Genomic DNA, 19,237 nt, shown 5'->3' on the forward strand with positions numbered 1-19,237 from the left:
TCTTCCCTCTAATTAAGAAAAAATATTTCCAAAGTTTATTATGCCTCCTAAAAAATGAATTTATAATTCATTTGTCCATTTAGTCTTAGGTGAAATGCAGTAAACACTAACTTAAAAGGACAGCCTTTCCCTGTGTTTGACAAATGTTCCCAGAAAACTGGTTTTAACTGTAAAGCCGGGAGTACATTTTCTTGTCATGTCCTGAAATGGAACTAATAAACCCAGAAGGCCTTAGGAAGCAACCATTAGCTCTCCCCCTTACCCTAGTTCTCAGGAATTGGAACTGGAAATCCACTGGAATTGATTTCTTGAATAACAGAGCTCGTTGTGTCTTAGAGCTTGACCATGAAGGAGCTTCCGCTGGAAAGACCTGAGGATGTGATTTCTAACATGATCAAAGAGGCTGGGTTATGCAACTTCTCTGTTTCATCCCTTCCTACGTCCATACACTATTCTACTGGATAGAGAGGCACTGACTGCTGAAAACCGCAAATGAACCAACAACACACAAGAAGGCCTGGCGGCAGTGGGGAGCGATCTGGCATTGACCATCAGGTTTCTGGGAACAGAGTTAAGTAGAAGGAAGGGAGGGCAGCAGTTCCTTGGACCCAGACACTCAGTGTGGCAAGTTCCATGTGTGCTCAAGGCATTCTGGCTTCACGGGAATTAGAAACCCTAGGAGCGGATGGGGTCGTTTTTGACCGTCTGTGTCTTCCTTTTTGCGCTCAGATCCAGTTCGATGAGACGCGTTATCCCAGAAGCTGGGCTAACTGACGGTCTGGAGCCCCAGCGGGTAATCATCAAAGGCCGGGTTTTTGTAGGCCACCAGGTGCGTGTCGCAGCGCTGCAGGCCCAGCGTCTGGCCCCGCCTGCAGAGACATGCGGACAGCACCACGGTGCTGGCGAGCAACAGGCCGCTGGCGGCGCACAGCCCAGAGAGCAGGAGCGCGAAGCTGGGCTTGGTGGTGAAGGCGGCGCACGGGCTCCTCCAGCCCGAAGACCGTGGCTGGCTCAAGCCCGCCCTGTTGGCCGCCAGCACGCACACGCGGTAGGTGGTGCCCGGCGACAGCCCGTACAGAGGGTGCTGCCGGGCCGTGGCGTAGATGACCCCCACCACCGACTGGTTCCCCGCCCAGCCCTCCGCAGAGTAGCGGATCTGGTACCCATGCACTACCGAGTTGGGGGCACACCAGTGGACCAGCGCCGACGTGTCCGTGGTCTCCGTCACCCCCTGCAGCCTGGGCGGGTCTGGGATGGTGTCTTCCCCGCTGAGGCCGGGGCACCGGCACCGCCACCGCCTCTGCAGCTCCGCGCACGGGGTCTGCAGGTGCTTGCAGGGATGGTAATCACAGGGGACGTCCTGGTGAGGCGTTCCCACCTCCTCCTTCCTCCCTTCCTCCTCCTCACTGTAGTCGTCCAGCAGCAAGACTGGAATCTCGCCCTCGGAAAGACTCGGGTTGGGGGCTTGGGGTGTGGCGTGTGTCCTCTGGCCGGGCTGAGGCGAGCTTATGCTGCGGTCCCACGAGGTAGGGAAGGGGCCCAGGAGCTTGCTGGCCAGTGGGGTGGAGGCAGCTGAGATATCAGGCTCAAGGACAAGCTCGGGGGCATGTTCTCCTCGGTGCTGGGTCCTGGTGGTGCTGGCAGCCCTGGGGAAAACGCTGGAGTTGCTGTGACCTGCTACAGAGTTGGTCGTGGAGGGGGCAGTCCCCTCCCGTGCATCGCTGTGCGGCCATGCAGCTATCGTGCGAGAGCCCACGTTAGGGGCCTTGGAGACACTCTGCTGGTCTCCCGCAGGCCGGGTGGCGGGGGCTGCGCTGGGCGCGACGGTGGTACCCTGTGCGTAGGTGGAGCGGTTGAAGCAAGGTGGGTGTGAAGCCCCGAGAGTGGTGCTTTGGTCGGACTGGCACACTCCGGGCAGCTGGGAGAGTGACAGGGAGGCTGAGAAGGGGCCGCTGGATCCCGCAGCTGGCGCGCACATAGTGTCTGCTGCCCTGGAGGGGAGGCCAACCAGTTAGAAGACGTCTGGCTTCAGGGACACTTCTGCGCAGAGCTTTGAATCCTCATTGCCGACGTCACCCCCTGCCAAGCCCATCAACGCGTCTCTGCCAGGCACCCCAGGGCACACACGCCGCACACACACATCACCTCATTGATTCTGGGGAAACCTTTGGAGGAAGCTCCTGTCCTCACTCCCACTGGGCAAAGAAGCAAACAGAAGTTTAGAAGGAGGAACTAATTGCCCAAGACACCATAGCTAGCAATGGCAGAGCCTACCCCGGGGCAAGCACTGAGAAGGAGTCCAGATTCTCTGAGTGTCATTTGCCATTTTGTTCTCACCTGTCTGCTTCCTGGCAAGAAAGCACTAGTAATAAAAATCATACTCGGGCCGGTGCGATGGCTCAAGCCTGTAATCTCAGCACTTTGGGAAGCTGAGGCGGGCAGATCACAAGGTCAGGAGGTCAAGACCATCCTGGCTAAGACGGTGAAACCCCCTCCCTACTAAAAATACAAAAATTAGCCGGGCATGGTGGCGGGTGCCTGTAATCCCAGCTACTCAGGAGGCAGAGGCAGGAGAATCACTTGAACCTGGGAGGCAGAGGTTGCAGTGAGCTGAGATTGCACCACTGCACTCCAGCCTGGGCAACAGAGGGAGACTCTGTCTCAAAAAAAAAAAAAAAAAAATACTCATACTAGCTACCATTTCTGAGTGCTTCCCACGTGCTAGGCGCTATTCTTCACACTCCAATGTGTCAACTAATTTAGTCTGCACTACTTTTGCAGTAGACTCTATTACCCCATTTTACAGATGAGAAGGTAGAGGCCAAAGTAACTCAGGTGAAATAGCTCAGCTCAAATCAACAGTAGTAAGTAGACCAGGTACAGTGGCTCATGCCTGGAGTCCCAGCACTTTGGGAGGCCCATGTAGGAGGATCACTTGAGGCCAGGAGTTGGAGACCATCCTGGTCAACATAGTGAGACCTCGTCTCTACCAAAACAAACAAACAAAAACTTAGCCAGGTATGGTGGCACATGGCTGTGGTCCCAGCTACTTGGGAGGATGAGGCAGGAGGATTGCTTGAGCCCAGTAGTCTGAGGCTGCAGTGAGCCATGATCATGCCACTGCACTCCAGCCTGGATGACAGAGCAAGACCCTGTCTCTAAAATAAATTAATAAAATAGTAGTAAGTAGGATGAAGCTGGACTCTCTGGCTCCAGAGCCTGTAGTCTCAGCTTCATCATTAATACTGTGATGAGACCCTTGACTGCAAAGGGCCCAGGTGCTTCTCTTTGGAGGGAATGTGGGGTTGGGGGGCAGACTGAGCCCCACCTCACAGCTGGGCTTGGGTGGGAGATGAGAAAAGAATCTTGGCCGGGCATGGTGGTTCATGCCTGTAATCCCAACTCTTTGGGAGGCCCAGATGGGAGGATCACTTGAGTCCAGGAGTTTGAGAACAGCCTGGGTAACATGATGAGACTCCATCTCTACAAAAAGATTAAAAAAAAATTAGCCGGGTGTGGTGGCTTGCACCTCTGGTCCCAGCTCCTCTAGAAGCTGAGTAGGATGATCGCTGAGCCCAGGAGGTTGAGGCTGTAATGAGATATGATTGTACCACTGCACTCCAGCCTGCGCAACAGAGCAAGACCCTGTCTCCAAACAAATAAACAAAAAGAATCCTGCAGAATGGTGGTGAGGGGGGTTGCCTCCCAAGGTATAGTGTTTACTTGGTGGAAATGGTTTGAAAGTGCTCAGGACTGGGGGTGTTCCCAGCCCCCCAGCTCCCACTGTCTCCTGGTGGCCAGCCTAAATGTGGCTCCTCACTGCAAAAACAGCTCTTTCTAGCCAATAGTCTTCATAGGAATTTCCCAAGAGAGCTCTGTAAGCCCACGGGCCTAGGACTGGATAACCCGGGAGCAGGAGGCCAGGCTCCATCTTGAAGATTCAGTAGAACCCAGTGGTTAAGCCAGACTACACTTCCCAGCCTCCCTTGCAGGTAGGTGTGGCTCCTGGCTAATGAATGTGAGTGGAAGTGAGGAGTAACACCTCCCAGCCTGGCTCACCAAAAGCCTCCAGGTCTGCTCCTCCATGCTCTTTGCCCCTTCTGGCTGGCTGGAATGGAGGCAGCTTCCATCACCTGGATCCCTGAGTATGACTACATGGGAAAGGCTGCCCAGCCCAACATGGCCAAAGTGCCAAGCATGGTCACATGAGCAAGATGTAAGCTGGAGAACTTCAGCTCCTGAAGGCTGACCCTCTGCCCTCAGCCATCTGCTTTGTAAATGTGTTACCTGCTTAGGACAGTTCTCTTTGCATCCGTGAGGAGCCAAGACAAGTCACAACTGCAAGTGAGGGGGTTGCCAAAGAGGTTGATCGATAGGACCTGGGAGGAATCCAGGGTCCAAGGAGGGAAGGAACTCAAGTTGCAGCTGAAATACAAACAAAAAAATTAATTAAGTCAGGTTTTTACAATTGTATCAAAGATATTCCCAGAGAGGCATGGTGTCAGAACCATGCCCATGGTATCAGAAGCATTCTGATAGGGGTTGGAGAATACCGCTTTGGGCAAAACTCTTAATGACCTCGAACTTCATTTTTTGTCCTCTGTTGTAAAATGGAGATACCAACCTAACAGGAAATATTATGCTTCATATCAACTGGGGACAATATTCCTTCATATCAACTGGAGACATAGCTAGAATGGAAATGTTAGAATGAGAGTTCAATCAGTATTTTTGTGTGTGTGTGGAAAGGAAATGCTTTTCTTTTTCCCTGAAGTGGGAAAGGAAGAGGATTACATTTTTTTTCTTTGAGTAACACCGTTGAGTCCTTTACTTACATTGTCTCATATCAACTGGGGACAATATTCCCATGACTGATCGTTGTATCAAAAAGAATGTGTGTTGGCTGGGCACGGTGGCTCATACCTGTAATCCCAGCACTTTGGGAGGCCAAGGCAGGTGGATTATTTGAGGTTAGGAGTTCGAGACCAGCCTGGCCAACATGGTGAAACTCTGTCTGTACTAAAAATACAAAAATTAGCCGGGCGGTAGTGGTGCACCTGTAATCCCAGTTACTCGGGAGGCTGAGGCAGGAGAATCACTTGAGCCTGGGAGGCAGAGGTTGCGGTGAGCCAAGAGCACACCACTACCCTCCAGGATAGGCAGGAGAGTGAGACCCTGTCTCAAAAAATAAAACAAAACAAAACAAACAACAACAACAAAAACACACACACAAAAAAGAATGCATGATGATAAAAGTGTTTGTAAATGCAAATCTCCACATACAAATAGATATTGTTATTATGGACCAGTGTTATTGCACTGTGGCTGGTGACACTCAACACCAGTCCTTTGGAAGATGCCTCATTTAAGTGCATCAGTGAACTCTTGCTAAGTAGAGAGTATCCTCCAAACTTAGTAACTTAAAACAATAAATATTTATTCCTTTGCATGATTCTGTGGGTTGGCTCAGTGGTTCTTGTGGTCTGGATTAGCTCAGCTGGGGCCAGATGATCTGGGATGGCCTCATGTGTAAGCCTCAACTGGCTGTGCTGGGACTTCTCTCCATGTGTCTGTCATCACCCAGGAGGCTAGCCTGGGCTTATTCACATGGTAGTGGAGGGATCCCCAATAGCAGGAGAGGGCAGGCCCCAGTGCTCAATTGCTTTCTAGTTTCTGCTTACATCACATTTGCTAATATCCCACTGGCCCCAAGCAAATCACAAGGCCAAGCCCAGCTTCAAGAGGTAGAGCAATAGACTCCTTGAAATATGGGGCCTGGTGCAATGGCTCATGCCTGTAATCCTAGCCCTTTGGGAGGCCAAGGTGGGAGGATCATTTGAGGCCAGGAGTTTCAGACTAGCCTGGGAAACATAGCAAGACCCTGTCTCTACAAAAAAAATTTAACAATTGGCCAGGCATGGTGGAGTACACCTGTGGTCCCAGCTACTTGGGAGGCTGAGATGGGAGGATTGCTTGAGTTAGAGGTTACAGTGAGCCATGATTGTGCCACTGCACTCCAGCCTGGGGAGCAGAACTAGGCCTTGACTCTAAAGAATTGAAATTTAAAAATATATATATAGGAGGAGCTGCAGTCATGTTGCAAAGAGTTGTGCCTACAGGGATGGGGGGAATTACTGAGGCCATTTTTGCATAGAGTCTACCATACCTAGCAATGGCAGATCTGCTCCTGGCTCCCTTCTCTTTCTCACCCAGAGTCTCACAGAGTGTTTGGCCTTGACTTTCTCGACTCCCTGAGTCTCCTGGACCTCCCAGATTTTACCTCATTTACATGTACTCAGTGATAATTCATCATGGGCAATGGGAGCTGCATTTTACATTCAAGTCTCTTCTGACCAAAGGCTGGCTTTCCTCAGTCTGCCTGGGAACCTGCCCTTTACTACTCTGGAGAAGATGCTGTTGTTCTGGGAAAGGAAGGACATGTCACCCACATCTGCTCTATCACTTCTGGCCAGTAGGAAAGTGACAGTCACCCCTGGGACACCAGATTTATGTATGTGCCATTTATATTAAAACTTAAGCCATATGTGCATATACAAGTGTATATATGTATATATGCGTGTATGCTTGTTTTTGCAGATTTTACATAGCTAGAATGGAAATGTTAGAATGAGAGTTCAATCAGTATTTTTGTGTGTGTGTGGAAAGGAAATGCTTTTCTTTTTCCCTGAAGTGGGAAAGGAAGAGGATTATATTTTTTTTTCTTTGAGTAACACCGCTGAGTCCTTTCCTTACATTGTCTCATTAACATCACTATGACGACTTAGTGAGGTAGACAGCATGTTACATGTTCTACATGTAAAGAAAATTATTCTTAGGGGAAAAGGTACAATTCGCTTTGGTGGTTCTTTCTGCCACCCAGTGCCACCTACACGTGATGAAGTCCCACATGCTGAGGAAGGAGAGAGCCTGGCTGGTTCCTGATGCATGTCACATTTGGGTATTCTCTACTTCTGATAGGGCCCTAGTGTGGAAGAAGTCTCCATTTGCTCTCCTGAATAATTTCTATTGGAGAATTGTTAATAGAAATTGCAGATACTTCCATGTCACTTTCCAGTAGTTCCATGTCATTTACAATCATTAAAATGATGAAAGTTATTAGACTTACTGGTAGATTTTGTCACTTAAGGTGTTAAAGAAGCAGACACACATACACACACACACACACACACACACACACACACACACACACACAGAGACACACACCACTCTTCTGGTAAGAGTGGACCATGGCTGGGAGCGGTGGCTCACACCCATAATCCCAGCACTTTGGGAAGCCGAGGCAGGCAGATCACGAGGTTAGGAGATAGAGACCATTCCGGCCAACATGATGAAACCCCGTCTTAACTAAAAATACAAAAAAAAAAAATAGCTGGGTGTGGTGGCGTGTACCTGTAGTCCCAACTACTCGGGAGGCTGAGGCAGGAGAGTCACTTGAACCTGGGAGGTGAAGATTGCAGTGAGCTGAGATAGAGCCACTGCACTCCATCCTGGTGGCAGAGCAAGACTCCATCTCAAAAAAAAAAAAAGAGTGGACCCACAGGCGTCACGAGACTGTCAAAAGGGCCCATAATATAAATGAAAATAAGACCTCCCTGGTCTAAAATGGGGCCTGTGAAGATGGAAACATCTATCAGAAGGCAGTAAGGAAGATGGGAGACGAAGAGGACTTGATCTAGAGTTGCCCTAAAGGGTCAAAGGGAAGGGGGCTGGCACAGGGGCTGTTGGGGATGGAAATGAAATGAGTCCTGGGGACTTGACTCCTGCAATGACTCTTCCACCCCTTTCACCTGGCTCCCTTGGGAATGAATGTCGCTGATGTCCCACATTTTGCCAAATCCCGTGGTCACCCCATTCTCAGCTGACTAGGGCTCCTGATGGTTTTGCCAACCACTCCCTCCCTCCTTAAGCACTCTCTTCTCTTGACCTCCAGGACATCACATTCTCCTGGTTTTTCTGCTACTCCACTGGTCATACCTTCTTGATCTCCTTTCCTGGTTCTTCTTCATCCCGATGTTAAAAGTTGGGGTTCTTCAAGGCTCAGTTCTGGGCCCTCATCTCTCTGTACTGTCTCTCTGGTGATCTCATGAATTTCTTTGGCTTCAAATATCATCTTTATACTCCCAAATTTATACCTCTGGCTCAGACTCTCCTCCTCCAAGCTTCAGTCTGATGCAGCATTGTGTTTAAGGTATCAGATGTGGAGCCAAACTGCCTGGGCTCAAATTCTGATTCTGCTATTTACTAGCTATGTGAACTGGGGAAATGTATTTAACATCCCTGTGTCTCAGTTTTTTCATCTGCGAAATGGGAATAATGACTGAATCCTCCCTATCTGGATTGCTGCAAGAGTAAATACTTCAATATATGCTTAGAACTATGCCTGGCACAGTACAACAGGTTCGTGTTATTATTACTGAACATTTCCCCTGGATGCCTCATAGATCTTTACTATCCAGCAGGCAATTAGATACGTGATTCTGGGGCTCATCAGAAGGCCTTGGCTGGAGATACTCAACTAAGCATCCTCAGCACAGAGATGGAGGAGGACGCATTAGGCTTTAGGGAAGGGGATGGTGCTGGAGTAGTGCATAGGGTGACAAATGACCTGCAAGACAGTTATAAGTGGAAATAGGCAAGGACATTAAGAAGGCCTAGCCAGGAAGGCTGGAGAAGCACCAGGGAAACATCTGGGGGCCAAAGAGACAGAGAACATCAAGAGGGAGGAAATAAACAATAGGCTCCACAGACGTAAGTGTCCACTGACTTGGCAGCTGATGTGGGTGGTCAGATTGCAGTGAATTGACAAGTAGAGGGATGAGAGGAAGTGGTTATCACTTCTCAACCTGGGATGCTTGCTCTTCTTGGGCCTGGATGGCCTTTCTCTTCTGACATTCACCCGGTGAGCTTGGACTTGCCTTTTGAGATATGGACCAATTATGCTGTTCCTGAAGAAGCCTCTCTGATCCAGTCTGATGGATCATTACCCCCACCTGTCTTATAACACAGCACATGGCGTGTGTCTCTGCTATGGATCATGATGTGTTATGATAAGTGGCAGATATCTGCTACCTATACTGAACTGTGAGCTCCCTGAAAGCAGTGGCCATGTTGTCAACGTCACCATCACCAAAGTCATCATGACCATCAATATCATTATCTTTATTAATATCACCACCATCACATCACCATTGCCACTGTCAGTGTTCTCACCACCACTATTTTTTTGTTTTGTTTTGATTTTGAGACAGAGTTTCATTCTTGTTGCCCAGGCTGGAGTACAATGGCGCAATCTCAGCTCACTGCAACCTCCACTTCCCAGGATCAAGCAATTCTCCTGCCTCAGCTTCCCAAGTAGCTGGGACTACAGACACATGCCACCATGCCCAGCTAATTTTGTATTTCTTTTAGTAGAGATGGGGTTTCACCATGTTGGCCAGGCTGGTCTCGAACTCCTGACCTCAGGTGATCCACCCACCTCGGCCTCCCAAAGTGCTGGGATTACAGGCATGAGCCATCATGCCTGGCCTCACCACCACTATTATATCATACAATCATCACTATCCTCGCATTATAATTAGCACCAACAGCCTTCATCATCACCATCACCATCACTGACATCAATCAGCATCAACACCATCACCATCACTGTCATCACCATCAGCATCTCCATTATAACCACCACCATCATCTTCACTAATTTTAGAGGACAAATACCATATGCCAGGCACTGAGCTAAGTGCTCTACATAAACCATATACTTTTTTTCTCATGAAAAGCCCCAAAGCAAACTTTTATTGTCATAGCTCTATCTTACAGATAAAGAAACTGCTTGATATTTGTATCCTGGCACTTTACACAGTTCTTGGGTTTTTATCGAGCTCAAAGGAGTCTGAGCCAGAGATACAAAGCATTTCTCCTCACAACATCGTGTGCTCAATAGCTATTTATTGAATAAAGGACAGAATGAGTGAATGGTTCTGCCTTTGCTTTGAAAAGTTGTTCATCCTTTTAGAAGAATAATTCCATCTTTAGTGACTGCATTGTGTAAAAGAGGACTAACAGGGCCTGCCCATAGACTTCCAAGGGATTTTCTAACAATATCAATACTTTCATCCCTAGACCCACTCAAATTCTGGAAGGGACTGAACTTGCATGACATGTGGGGAAGAAAGCAGATCCAGACAGAGAGGAGACCTGAGGTCCTCCTCACCTCTTCCCACTGTAAATTTCTAAGACTGGGCTTAAAATAAACTTTAAAGGCATAGGAGTTTGGCGTTCTAATGCTACTCTGAACTGGACTGAGTTGCAAGGCTAGATGGCTGGGTGGACTATCTGGGACCTACCCAAGATATCACCCAAAGGGTGGGGGAAAACAAAGCCCCAGAGAGGATTTGGAAGAGTAGTGGGAGAAAAATTAAGGTCTGGTTTGTTCTATAAAATTCAACATAGCGTAATGGGCAAAAATCAGTCATGTGATGAAGATGTGCCTCAGAAGCACTTACTTCTGGAACAGAAGGACCTGTAGATGTGGAGTATCTTGAAAGATGTGTGTGGCGACAGAAGCAAGTGCTGGGGAGTCCTGACAGTCCAGCTGCTGCAGGTTGGGGGTCATCTTGAAAATGTCCCCCTCCAGGGTCGTCAGCCGAGGCATCTTCCTCAGGTAGAGGGATGTGAGCTTCGGCAGGTCTCTGATCCACCCTGACTCAACTGAAACACAGAAGGGAAACTGCCAACTACTCCAGAACGCACAAACCCAGGAGGCCAGCACGGCATGAAGGAAGAACGAGAGTGGCAAGGTGAATGGTGAAGGTCATCGCTGAGCACGGGCACAGTTAGCAGCTCTGGGAATCTCAGAATTGTGGTCATTTCAGCTGGAAGGGTGCTCAGGGACAAGCAGTCCTTCCTTTCTTCCAATCTGAGTCGGCCAAGGCCAGAGAGGGGATTGATTGGCCCAAGGCTACATAGCTGGAAAGCGGCAGAGACAAGGCTTGAACCCAGGACACTGTCTCCAAGTCTGTTGCTGCTCCACCTTCTCATTAAAGTCCACACAGAAAATAACCAGACTTTGCTCTGATGTCTGTCAAGTGTGGGGAACTTCTGCGGAACGTAATTAAGGAGGCGAGGGGCCCCCAGAAACCTCATTTTGTGGCTCTCCTAATACATGGAGAACGTGCCCCTTCCCCTCGGTATTCCCCATTCTAGCTGTTTTTTCTCTTTGTCTTTGATGAAACAGGTGGTTGTAGACACGTGAAGTGTTTTTTAAAAAATAGTAAAACCGACCTTGTGAATCAAAGAACACCAAGAACAGGAGACCGGTTATCCTCACCACTCTCCTGTGGCTTGAGTGATTAAACATTCACAGAAACTATTTTGCCCAACCAGGTAGAAAAATCAGTGAATTCATCCTGGAAGCCTCAGTCACTTCAGCTAACTGCATGTTTGCGGCTCAGTTTTTCCATTCATCAGCCCCAAAGCATGCACTCACTTCCCCATTCCACAAGCACTTATCCAGCCATGCTGGGAAGCAGAACAGAGTGGTTAAAGTTTTGGGCTCTGGACCCAGAATGCCTGGGTTCAGATTTGCTTAATGTGTGACCAAGTTTCGCCTTTCTGTGCCAGGGTTCCCTCATATGTAAAAAGGAGATGGTAACAGTTCCTATCTCTTAGGATTCAAGAAAGTGACTCCTGTGTGGCGCTTCAAACTGGGCCCGCTTGCTCGAAAAATGTAGCTGGTGTCTTTTTGAACCCTCCTACGAGCTGGGCACCCGGGTCACCCCTCGAGGAAGAACGCAGCCCTGCCCCCCGGAGCGCACGCGCAGCCTGGCTCTGCGCTCAGGCCGGCTGAAAACGCGGGGCGCCCGGACTCACCCCGTTCAAGGAACGTGCCGCTGAGATCCAGGACTTCGAGCGTGACCAGGGGCGCGCCATCCTCTCCAGCGAACGCCGCCTCGGCGATGCCCCCCTGGGCTCCGCGACCCAGCGCGGTGCAGGAGAGGTTGAGGAGCTGCAGCGCGGGGAAGCAGGCGAAGGCCCGGGGCTGCAGCGCCCGCAGCGGATTCCCGGCGAGCGCCAGGGCGCGGAGGCTGCTCAGCGCGGGCCCGGTGCACGGCGGCAGAGCGGCCAGCTGGTTGTAGCTGAGGTCCAGGGTGTGCAGCCCCGCCGGCCCACCCGGGCCCCAGCGCAGCGCGGCGATGCGGTTGTGGCGCAGGGTCAGCACCTGCAGCTGCTCCAGGTGGCCGAGCTCGGAAGTGCTCAGGGCGCGCAGCAGGTTGTGGCTGGCGTCGAGGCTGCGCAGTGTGCGCGGTAGGCAGCCGGGCAGGCGCTCCAGGTTGCGGTTCGCCAGGGTCAAGGCCGTCGCATCCGCGGCGGGCAGCCCCTCGCAGGGCGAGTCGGTGGCGTTGCTGCCACTGCTCCCCCAGGGGCCCTGCTGAGTGACCCGGAAGAGCGGGACCTTCTCCTGGGGAGGGTCTGCCCAGCTGGGGCGCAGCACCGTCAGCAGCAGCAGCGGTAGGGTTTGCCGCATGGCGTCTGGGGAGAGAACAGCAGGACGCCCATCAAATCCACAGGAACCCCCGCACAAAGAGTCAGATGCGCGTCCCAACCCTACCTCCAGGGCTCTGAGGAGGAGCACAGGCGCTGGATGTTCCCTGCAGGGCGGGGAGACGTTCCCAGAGTCGCCTAGTGTGCAGTGACCTCTCCCCTGTCTGCTTTTGCCCTGTCGTCTCCCCTAGGAGCACGGTGATACCCCCTGCTCTTCCTCCCCTCAAGGATGCCTTTTCCTCTTCTCGTGAGAGGGAGGCCTTCTTCATCTGTCCAATCTGGGCCTGAATCTCTCAATAACTCCCTCCGTTTATGTACCCCCATCCTGTGAGCTTCTACAGGAAAGGGATGTCCCCTTTATTGCTGCAAACTCTCCCCAGGTAAACAGTCACTGCTCCATAAACGTGAATGCCCTCAGGAGGCTAGAAACATGAGGAAGATTTTGTCCGTTCAGCAACTCTCAGTTACCCCGCTTTTCCCCATTAGAACTGCCCAGCCGCAGGGGAATCCTAGTTTGCCTAAAATAAGTCTTGGAGTCAGTTTCTTGGCAGCATGCTCAGGGTTGCCTTCAGCAGAAGAACAAAGCCCTGTGAACCCTGGAGTCAAACATTTGCTGGTCCCATGTGGGTTCCAACAAAAGCCAGAGCCCCCAGTATTAGCCCTGCCCAGGAGGGATGGCTGAGAGCTGCTAGTTGTGGAATTTCTGGACTACCTAGGGTTGCACAGGTCAGCTAGGAGATCAAGCAGAGGAAGATCCGGCAGCCATGGGCTAGCTTGGGAGTGGCAAAGATACCGTTAACCATGCCCTGGCCATGAGGTCACTGCTCCATATCCCTCATCACTGCAGATGTGTATTCCTGCCCCAGCTCTCTGTGCTGACCAGTAGATCTCCGAGTCACCACCCAGGCTCCAGGGGAAGGGTCTCCCTATTACTAGCTGGGGATGAAGGCAGTGAGAAAGATCCTGGAACCTGAAGCCAGGAGCGTGTGCACCCAGCAGTGTGTCATGCTTACCTGGAAGTGGTCCTTTTGGAGTGTGGCTTCTCTGGATGCACCTCTGAAGTTCTCAGCTTTGTTTTATAGATTCTAGGGACCACTGATTTGGACAGCAACTCAGCTATGAACTCCAGAGGGAGGCCTGTCTCCCAGCTGCCTCTCTCCCACAACCCCCATCCACTGAGAGGGACTGAGATACTCCAGTCTTTCCCATTGCTCCTCCTTTCCCATCAAGACGCTGTTGTCTTTAGCCAACACCCTCATTGCTCAGCTCCCTCCTCTCCCGCTAGGGCCTGCCCCTGGCCCTTTCCAGGCCTGGCACCTCCTCCTAGCCCTCCCCATCTTTACCTCTCGGAACACTACCTTTCCCAGGCTGGAGAAATGAAAGGAGTAGCGGTGAGGGCTAGTGGAGTGCAGTGAGGCAGAGCAGCGCTGTCACCTCTTAGGAATTTGATCCTTCCTGCCAGGTGGCTCCCATTTTCTGGGATGGCTGGAAGCCAATTCTCCCAAAGGAGGGAAGGCATCCGAGTCTAGAGGAAGCTTGCAGGGATTTCCAGGAAAAAGTGGCAGGAGAGAGGATCCTCAGAAGGGTCTGGGGCAGAGCAGGCTCAAACCAGACCCAAGAGGCCCCGAGGACAGTTTGTTTGGTGGCTCTGGGCCCCCGCTCAGTGACAGTGTGGACGTTTGTCTCTCGTAAGGAGTGAGAATAAACAGAGGACAGAAATGCAGAAAGAACATTCCCGCTGCATGCCTGGGAGGATGGGTCCTGACTACCAGCCCCAGGTCTCCCGAAGATGTGATGCTTGAGTGAGCTTTGTTTAGAGACCTTTTTTTTTTTTTTTTTTAGTTTTTAAATAAAAATATTCATTTTTATCTTACACCTATTGATATGGTTTGGCTGTGTCTCCGCCAAAATCTCAACTTGAATTGTATCTCCCAGAATTCCTGTGTGTTGTGGGAGGGACCCAGAGGAAGGCAATTGAATCATGGGGGCCAGTCTTTCCCATGCTGTTCTCCTGATAGTGAATAAGTCTCACAAGATCTGATGAGTTTATCAGGGGTTTCCGCTTTTGCTTCTTCCTCATTGTCTTTCGCTGCCACCATGTAAGAAGAGTCTTTTGCCTCCCGTCATGATTCTGAGGGCTCCCCAACTACATAGAACTGTAAGTCCAATTAAACCTCTTTTTCTTCCCAGTTTCTTCCCAGTTTCTTTCCCAGTTTCAGCATGAAAAGAGACTAACACACCTATATATAATAAATGTTCACTTATTATACTCTATGTTGTAGTCATAATGAAAGGAAATACTAAATAACAAAATGTTTAGAAGTGATTATCTCTAGATGGTGGGATGACGGGATTTAGGTGGCTTTATTTTCTTTTTCTTTTTTTTTTTTTGTTTAGAGCAGACAGCACCTCTCTCTCCCAGAGTCCCAAGGCAGAGCTCGGTCATTTCCTCTGAGGGCCTTTGATCTGCATCCTCCCCCAATCCCGCCTAGCCCCATCTGAGAGTTCATCAGGGTTAATGAGCCACAGCTTTGCGTGACAGACACTGAGACCAGAACTTTCCTCCTGTCAGTCCTTATCTGGACAGCCCTGAGGAACTCCAGGATACCTCAGAAACTGGCCTATTAGGGTTGATTGGTTAATTGGAAATTCCCGAGGATCTCCATTGAGGCCTTCTCCACCCACAGCCTGAAGATCTTTCCAGTCTCAGTGCCAGCTAGGACCCTGCTGCTCACAAGCGTTGCTCCTCTGCCCGAGCGGGGCAGGGAGAGGCCGCTCTGTGCTCCCCAGCCTGGGGCTCATGCAGTCACCTCCCAGGGAGCCTGGGCCCAGGCCCCAGAGGTATAAACACATGCCATGGAGACATAGGAGGCCAGGTGGGAAGAAGTCAGAGAGAGGTGGGTTCAGCTTAGAGGTGGGGTCAGCACGCAGACCAGTGGGCAGCCTGCTTCCTCTTTGCCTTTGCACGGACAGCTCCACGCCCAATAATTAAAACATTAAGCCAGGCATGGTGGCTTATGCCTGTAATCCCAGCATGTTGGGAGGCTGAGGCAGGAAGGCAGGAGTTCAAGACAGGCCTGGGCGACATAGCAAGACCTCGTCTCTATCAAACAAACAAACAAAAAGAATTAGAACATCATGTTTCCCTCAGAGTTAAACCAGCCAGGTCCACCCATGTAAGGCGACTGACCATGCTGAGGCCAGCAGGGGTTTGGGGAGTCCAGGCAGGGCTTTCCCAGATGAGAGGGAGCCAAATCCATGGAAACACGCCTGGACTGAACAGAGACCCTGAGGGGGAAGGAAGCTGGTTCACTGCGGAGGCCTATAAAACAGGACCTTGGGGAGCCATGTCGGGGTGCTACTCCTCTGTGCACCAGTAGGCGAGGGTTCTGGAGTGGCCCTGGCTGAGGAATTCCCCTGGAGGCATCATCCTGTGGTTGCCTGAAGCCCCAGGCCCTCTGAGCCAACTTCTTGCCACTGCTGCTTGCTGGCCAGTTTGCCAGTGGTGGCAAGGGCCTGGCCTGGCCAGGCTGACCTGAGGTTGGCCCTCTGGACTGTCCTGTTTCCCTGGTCATACCCAGCCCTAGCACACACATCCTTGGCAGGCTGCCCCGTGCGGCTTCTGAGCTGGGGAGGCTGATGGCAGACCGTACATGGCAGGGTTTGCTTATCGGTCTTTCTGGGGCAGTCAGTTGGCCTTGCCCCAGTGGGTAGTCCACTCTGCTTAGCTTCATCATCTCCTTTTTAAAAACTGAGCAGTTACTATAGTCAGAGCCTAATGCCATATGCATAGTCTCGTCTAATCCTCCCCAGGTACTTACTATTATATTACAGACGAAGAAACTGAGGCTCGCAAAGGTTTTTGTGCTCTAGATTCTGGAGCACATATGGAGTGAGCTATGTGATTTAACCACGTCTTTTTTTTTTTTTTTTCGAGACACAGTCTCCCTCTGTTACCCAGGCTGGAGTGCAGTGGTGCAGCTGTGGCTCACTGCAACCTCCACCTCCCAGGTTCAAGCGATTCTCATGCCTCAGCCTCCCAAGTAGCTGGGATTACAGGCATGCGCCATCACGCCTGGCTAATTTTTAGGGGCTATTTTTACTAGAGACGGGGTTTTGCCATGTCGACCAGGCTGATCTTGAACTCCTGGCCTCAAGTGATCCACCCGCCTTGGCCTCCCAAAGTGCTGGGATTACAGGCATGAGCCACTGCGCCTGGCCAAACCACTGTCTTACATTGCCTTCCATAGACCTCAGCATCTGATACTATAATATGCCCTTAAGCACAAGAGAATCTTCTCCAAATACTTAGACCCAAATTGTGTGAGAAGCCAAGACACTGGGAAATTTCCTGCCATAGTTGAGCAGCTCATTCTCAAAATACACAGGGCTGACTTCTTGGGTCACTGTGGGCCCAAGACTGAAGAGGATGACTGGGTAGGGCCTACCAGGCACCTCTCAGGGAGGCTCAGCCCTCTTTTCCAGCCTTTTCTCCTCTTCTAGCACTTCTTGGAGGTCAGGACAAGAGGACTAAAGTGTTTGTCCTCTCCAGAGAAGAATGCTAAGGTCTTGCAACACAATCCTGGAACCAACAAATATGCGTCCTTCAAATGCCACGCCAAGTGCTGTGCCATGCTTGCCCTCCATGGTTTTACTGTAGCTGTTCCTCTGCCTGGATGCCCCCCATTTTATTGCCTTAGTCTCTATTTCAGCTAATTTTTTTTATAACTAGCGTGGGCCCTCTTGAAAGGAGACCCTGAAATATACACCTGGGTGCCATACCCATAATTTATTTGGGAGGCGATCTCAAGGAGTGCGGAGATGGAATAAGGAAGTGAGACAGGGAAGGAAAGGCACTGATGATGTGTTGATGAGCAGAGACTGCCATGGACAACTGGGGCTCCATCTTGCTGGGGGCCTCATCTTGCTGGGGGCCTCTGTAAGACTGTGTAGAGCATACCTCAGGATTGTTCCATTAAGTGGCAAGGAAGAGGGGATATCTATCCACCAGCTTCTGCTTTTTGTTGGTTTGAGGGTTCTTCTGTGGCTTTAACTTCCTGGCACATAGATCAAGCAACTCCATGGAGGGCTAAGGGGATAGGGTAGGCACTGACAGCACCTGCTATAGCATCCTTCAAGATTTCACCCAAGCGGATGCCCCCAGGCGAATTAAGTGCCTTCCTTGGTATTCTTTCCTAGGTAACATTGGCTACCTTTCATCAAGCAGATTGATGTGGCTCATTCTGTAGTTTAGGACTAAACTTCCTGATAACAGAGCCGCATGGTTTATTTCCTAGCCCTAGTGCCTGGGGTGGTGTCTGGCACACAGGAGAAATGTTCTGACAAATGAATGGGAAAAGGTATGACAGTGTACATGGAGGATCATGGTGTTCTTCACAATTCCCAGGAGTGGATGGGGCAGGACTCAAAACAGTAAAAATCAAATTCAAGTTCCTGAAATTCACAGCTCAAGTCCTCCAGCATCCCAGCATTGAGAAGGGCTAAGATGAGAGTTGAGACGGAGGAGTGAGCAAAAGTGGAGGTAGAAAATTGAGTCCCAGAAAACCTTCCAATTCAGATTCCCCACATTCTTAGGATCTTTGAGAGAAAAAATCTGTTGGAAGATTACAAGGTTAGACAGTAAAACTATAGCAGCAGGGGGAAAAAAGAGCCAGTAATTATATACTTGGCCACACTTTTATGGATTTAGATAAAAATCAGAGTCATGGATCTTTGGCCTTAGAAAGAACTTTAGAAGTTGTCTGGTCCCATCCCTCCTTGTCGATTTTAGGAGAAAACTGAGCCCCAGAGAGAGAAATTGGCTTGTCTGAGGTCACACAGTGTTGAGTTCCTAATTACCCAGTGAAAAGCAAAGGCGATCTAATTCTCACTGTTTCACTCTGGCTCTGGGTTTATTTGCACAGCTAACCAGGTCTCACCTGCCCTGATATTAGCAATGTGAGTCTTTCCCTGAAGGTATGGCTAAGTAAACACACCTGGCAAGCATCAAGCCACAGAGCGGTTTCAGGGGCTCTGACTCCAGCTGTTCCCATTTACCCCCAGAACTCCAGGAATAATTACTCCCAATACAGACTGCCCCAGAGACCCAGAATTGGTATCTTCTAAGTGAGTCCTGTCCAGCTCTCTTTACAACTCTTGCAGCCTGCAATGGGGTGATGAGGGCTGGCCCAGGTGACAGGTGACTGCTTGGCCAGCTGCCCCTGCCCTGCTCTCCAGATGCCAGTCAGCTACGCTGAGGGGTCTTCCCCAAAACATGGGAGTCAGAATGTACACGCCTAAAGATTACATTCTTCTCTGACACCAGAGATAAGCCAGAAGAATGGGAGGGTGATTGTGGGAGGAGACGGTACCAGGTTGTCAAGTCTCCGGGAAGAGCCAGCTCTCTCCCAAAATGGAATGTAGAAAAGAGGCTTCCAAGTGGTAGAAACCAAGATATCTGAGTGGGTTCACTGACGTGGCTGCCCTGCCTGTGAGGAAATGATCTGGAGGAAATAAAGTAGTAATGGGTTGAGACGCATGTTTATTTTCTTTTTGAAGTGTCACTCACCAAGTCATATTTCAGCATGAGGATTGATAGAATGCTTAGAATTTTAGAAGATACCATTTGAGATCCTTTTAAAATCCATAGTGGAAAAGATTCAAACAGAAATGTGAG

At 50.4% G+C, this 19,237-nt stretch overlaps 1 protein-coding gene across 1 annotated transcript, besides 1 other annotated feature; it reads right to left on the reverse strand.

The window, feature by feature from the left end:
* Positions 1-290: 290 nt before the first annotated feature.
* LRRN4 (leucine rich repeat neuronal 4) lies at positions 291-13,805 on the reverse strand. The gene is made up of 5 exons (NM_152611.5): positions 13,575-13,805; positions 11,890-12,549; positions 10,524-10,728; positions 4,288-4,425; positions 291-1,991 (listed from the first exon to the last, which is right to left on the reverse strand). The coding sequence occupies exons 2-5, from the start codon at positions 12,542-12,544 to the stop codon at positions 767-769; spliced, it is 2,223 nt and encodes a 740-aa protein (NP_689824.2). The 5' UTR covers positions 12,545-12,549; positions 13,575-13,805; the 3' UTR covers positions 291-766.
* Positions 12,142-12,943: an enhancer, noted in NCBI's record as "H3K4me1 hESC enhancer chr20:6033043-6033844 (GRCh37/hg19 assembly coordinates)". NCBI's record gives its function as "activates a minimal SCP1, AML or CMV promoter by ChIP-STARR-seq in primed H9 embryonic stem cells {active_cell/tissue: H9 hESC(primed)}" and the evidence as "EXISTENCE:reporter gene assay evidence [ECO:0000049][PMID:30033119]".
* Positions 13,806-19,237: the final 5,432 nt, after the last annotated feature.

Source organism: Homo sapiens, chromosome 20 (assembly GCF_000001405.40).
Source record: "Homo sapiens chromosome 20, GRCh38.p14 Primary Assembly".
Lineage (NCBI taxonomy): Eukaryota > Metazoa > Chordata > Mammalia > Primates > Hominidae > Homo > Homo sapiens.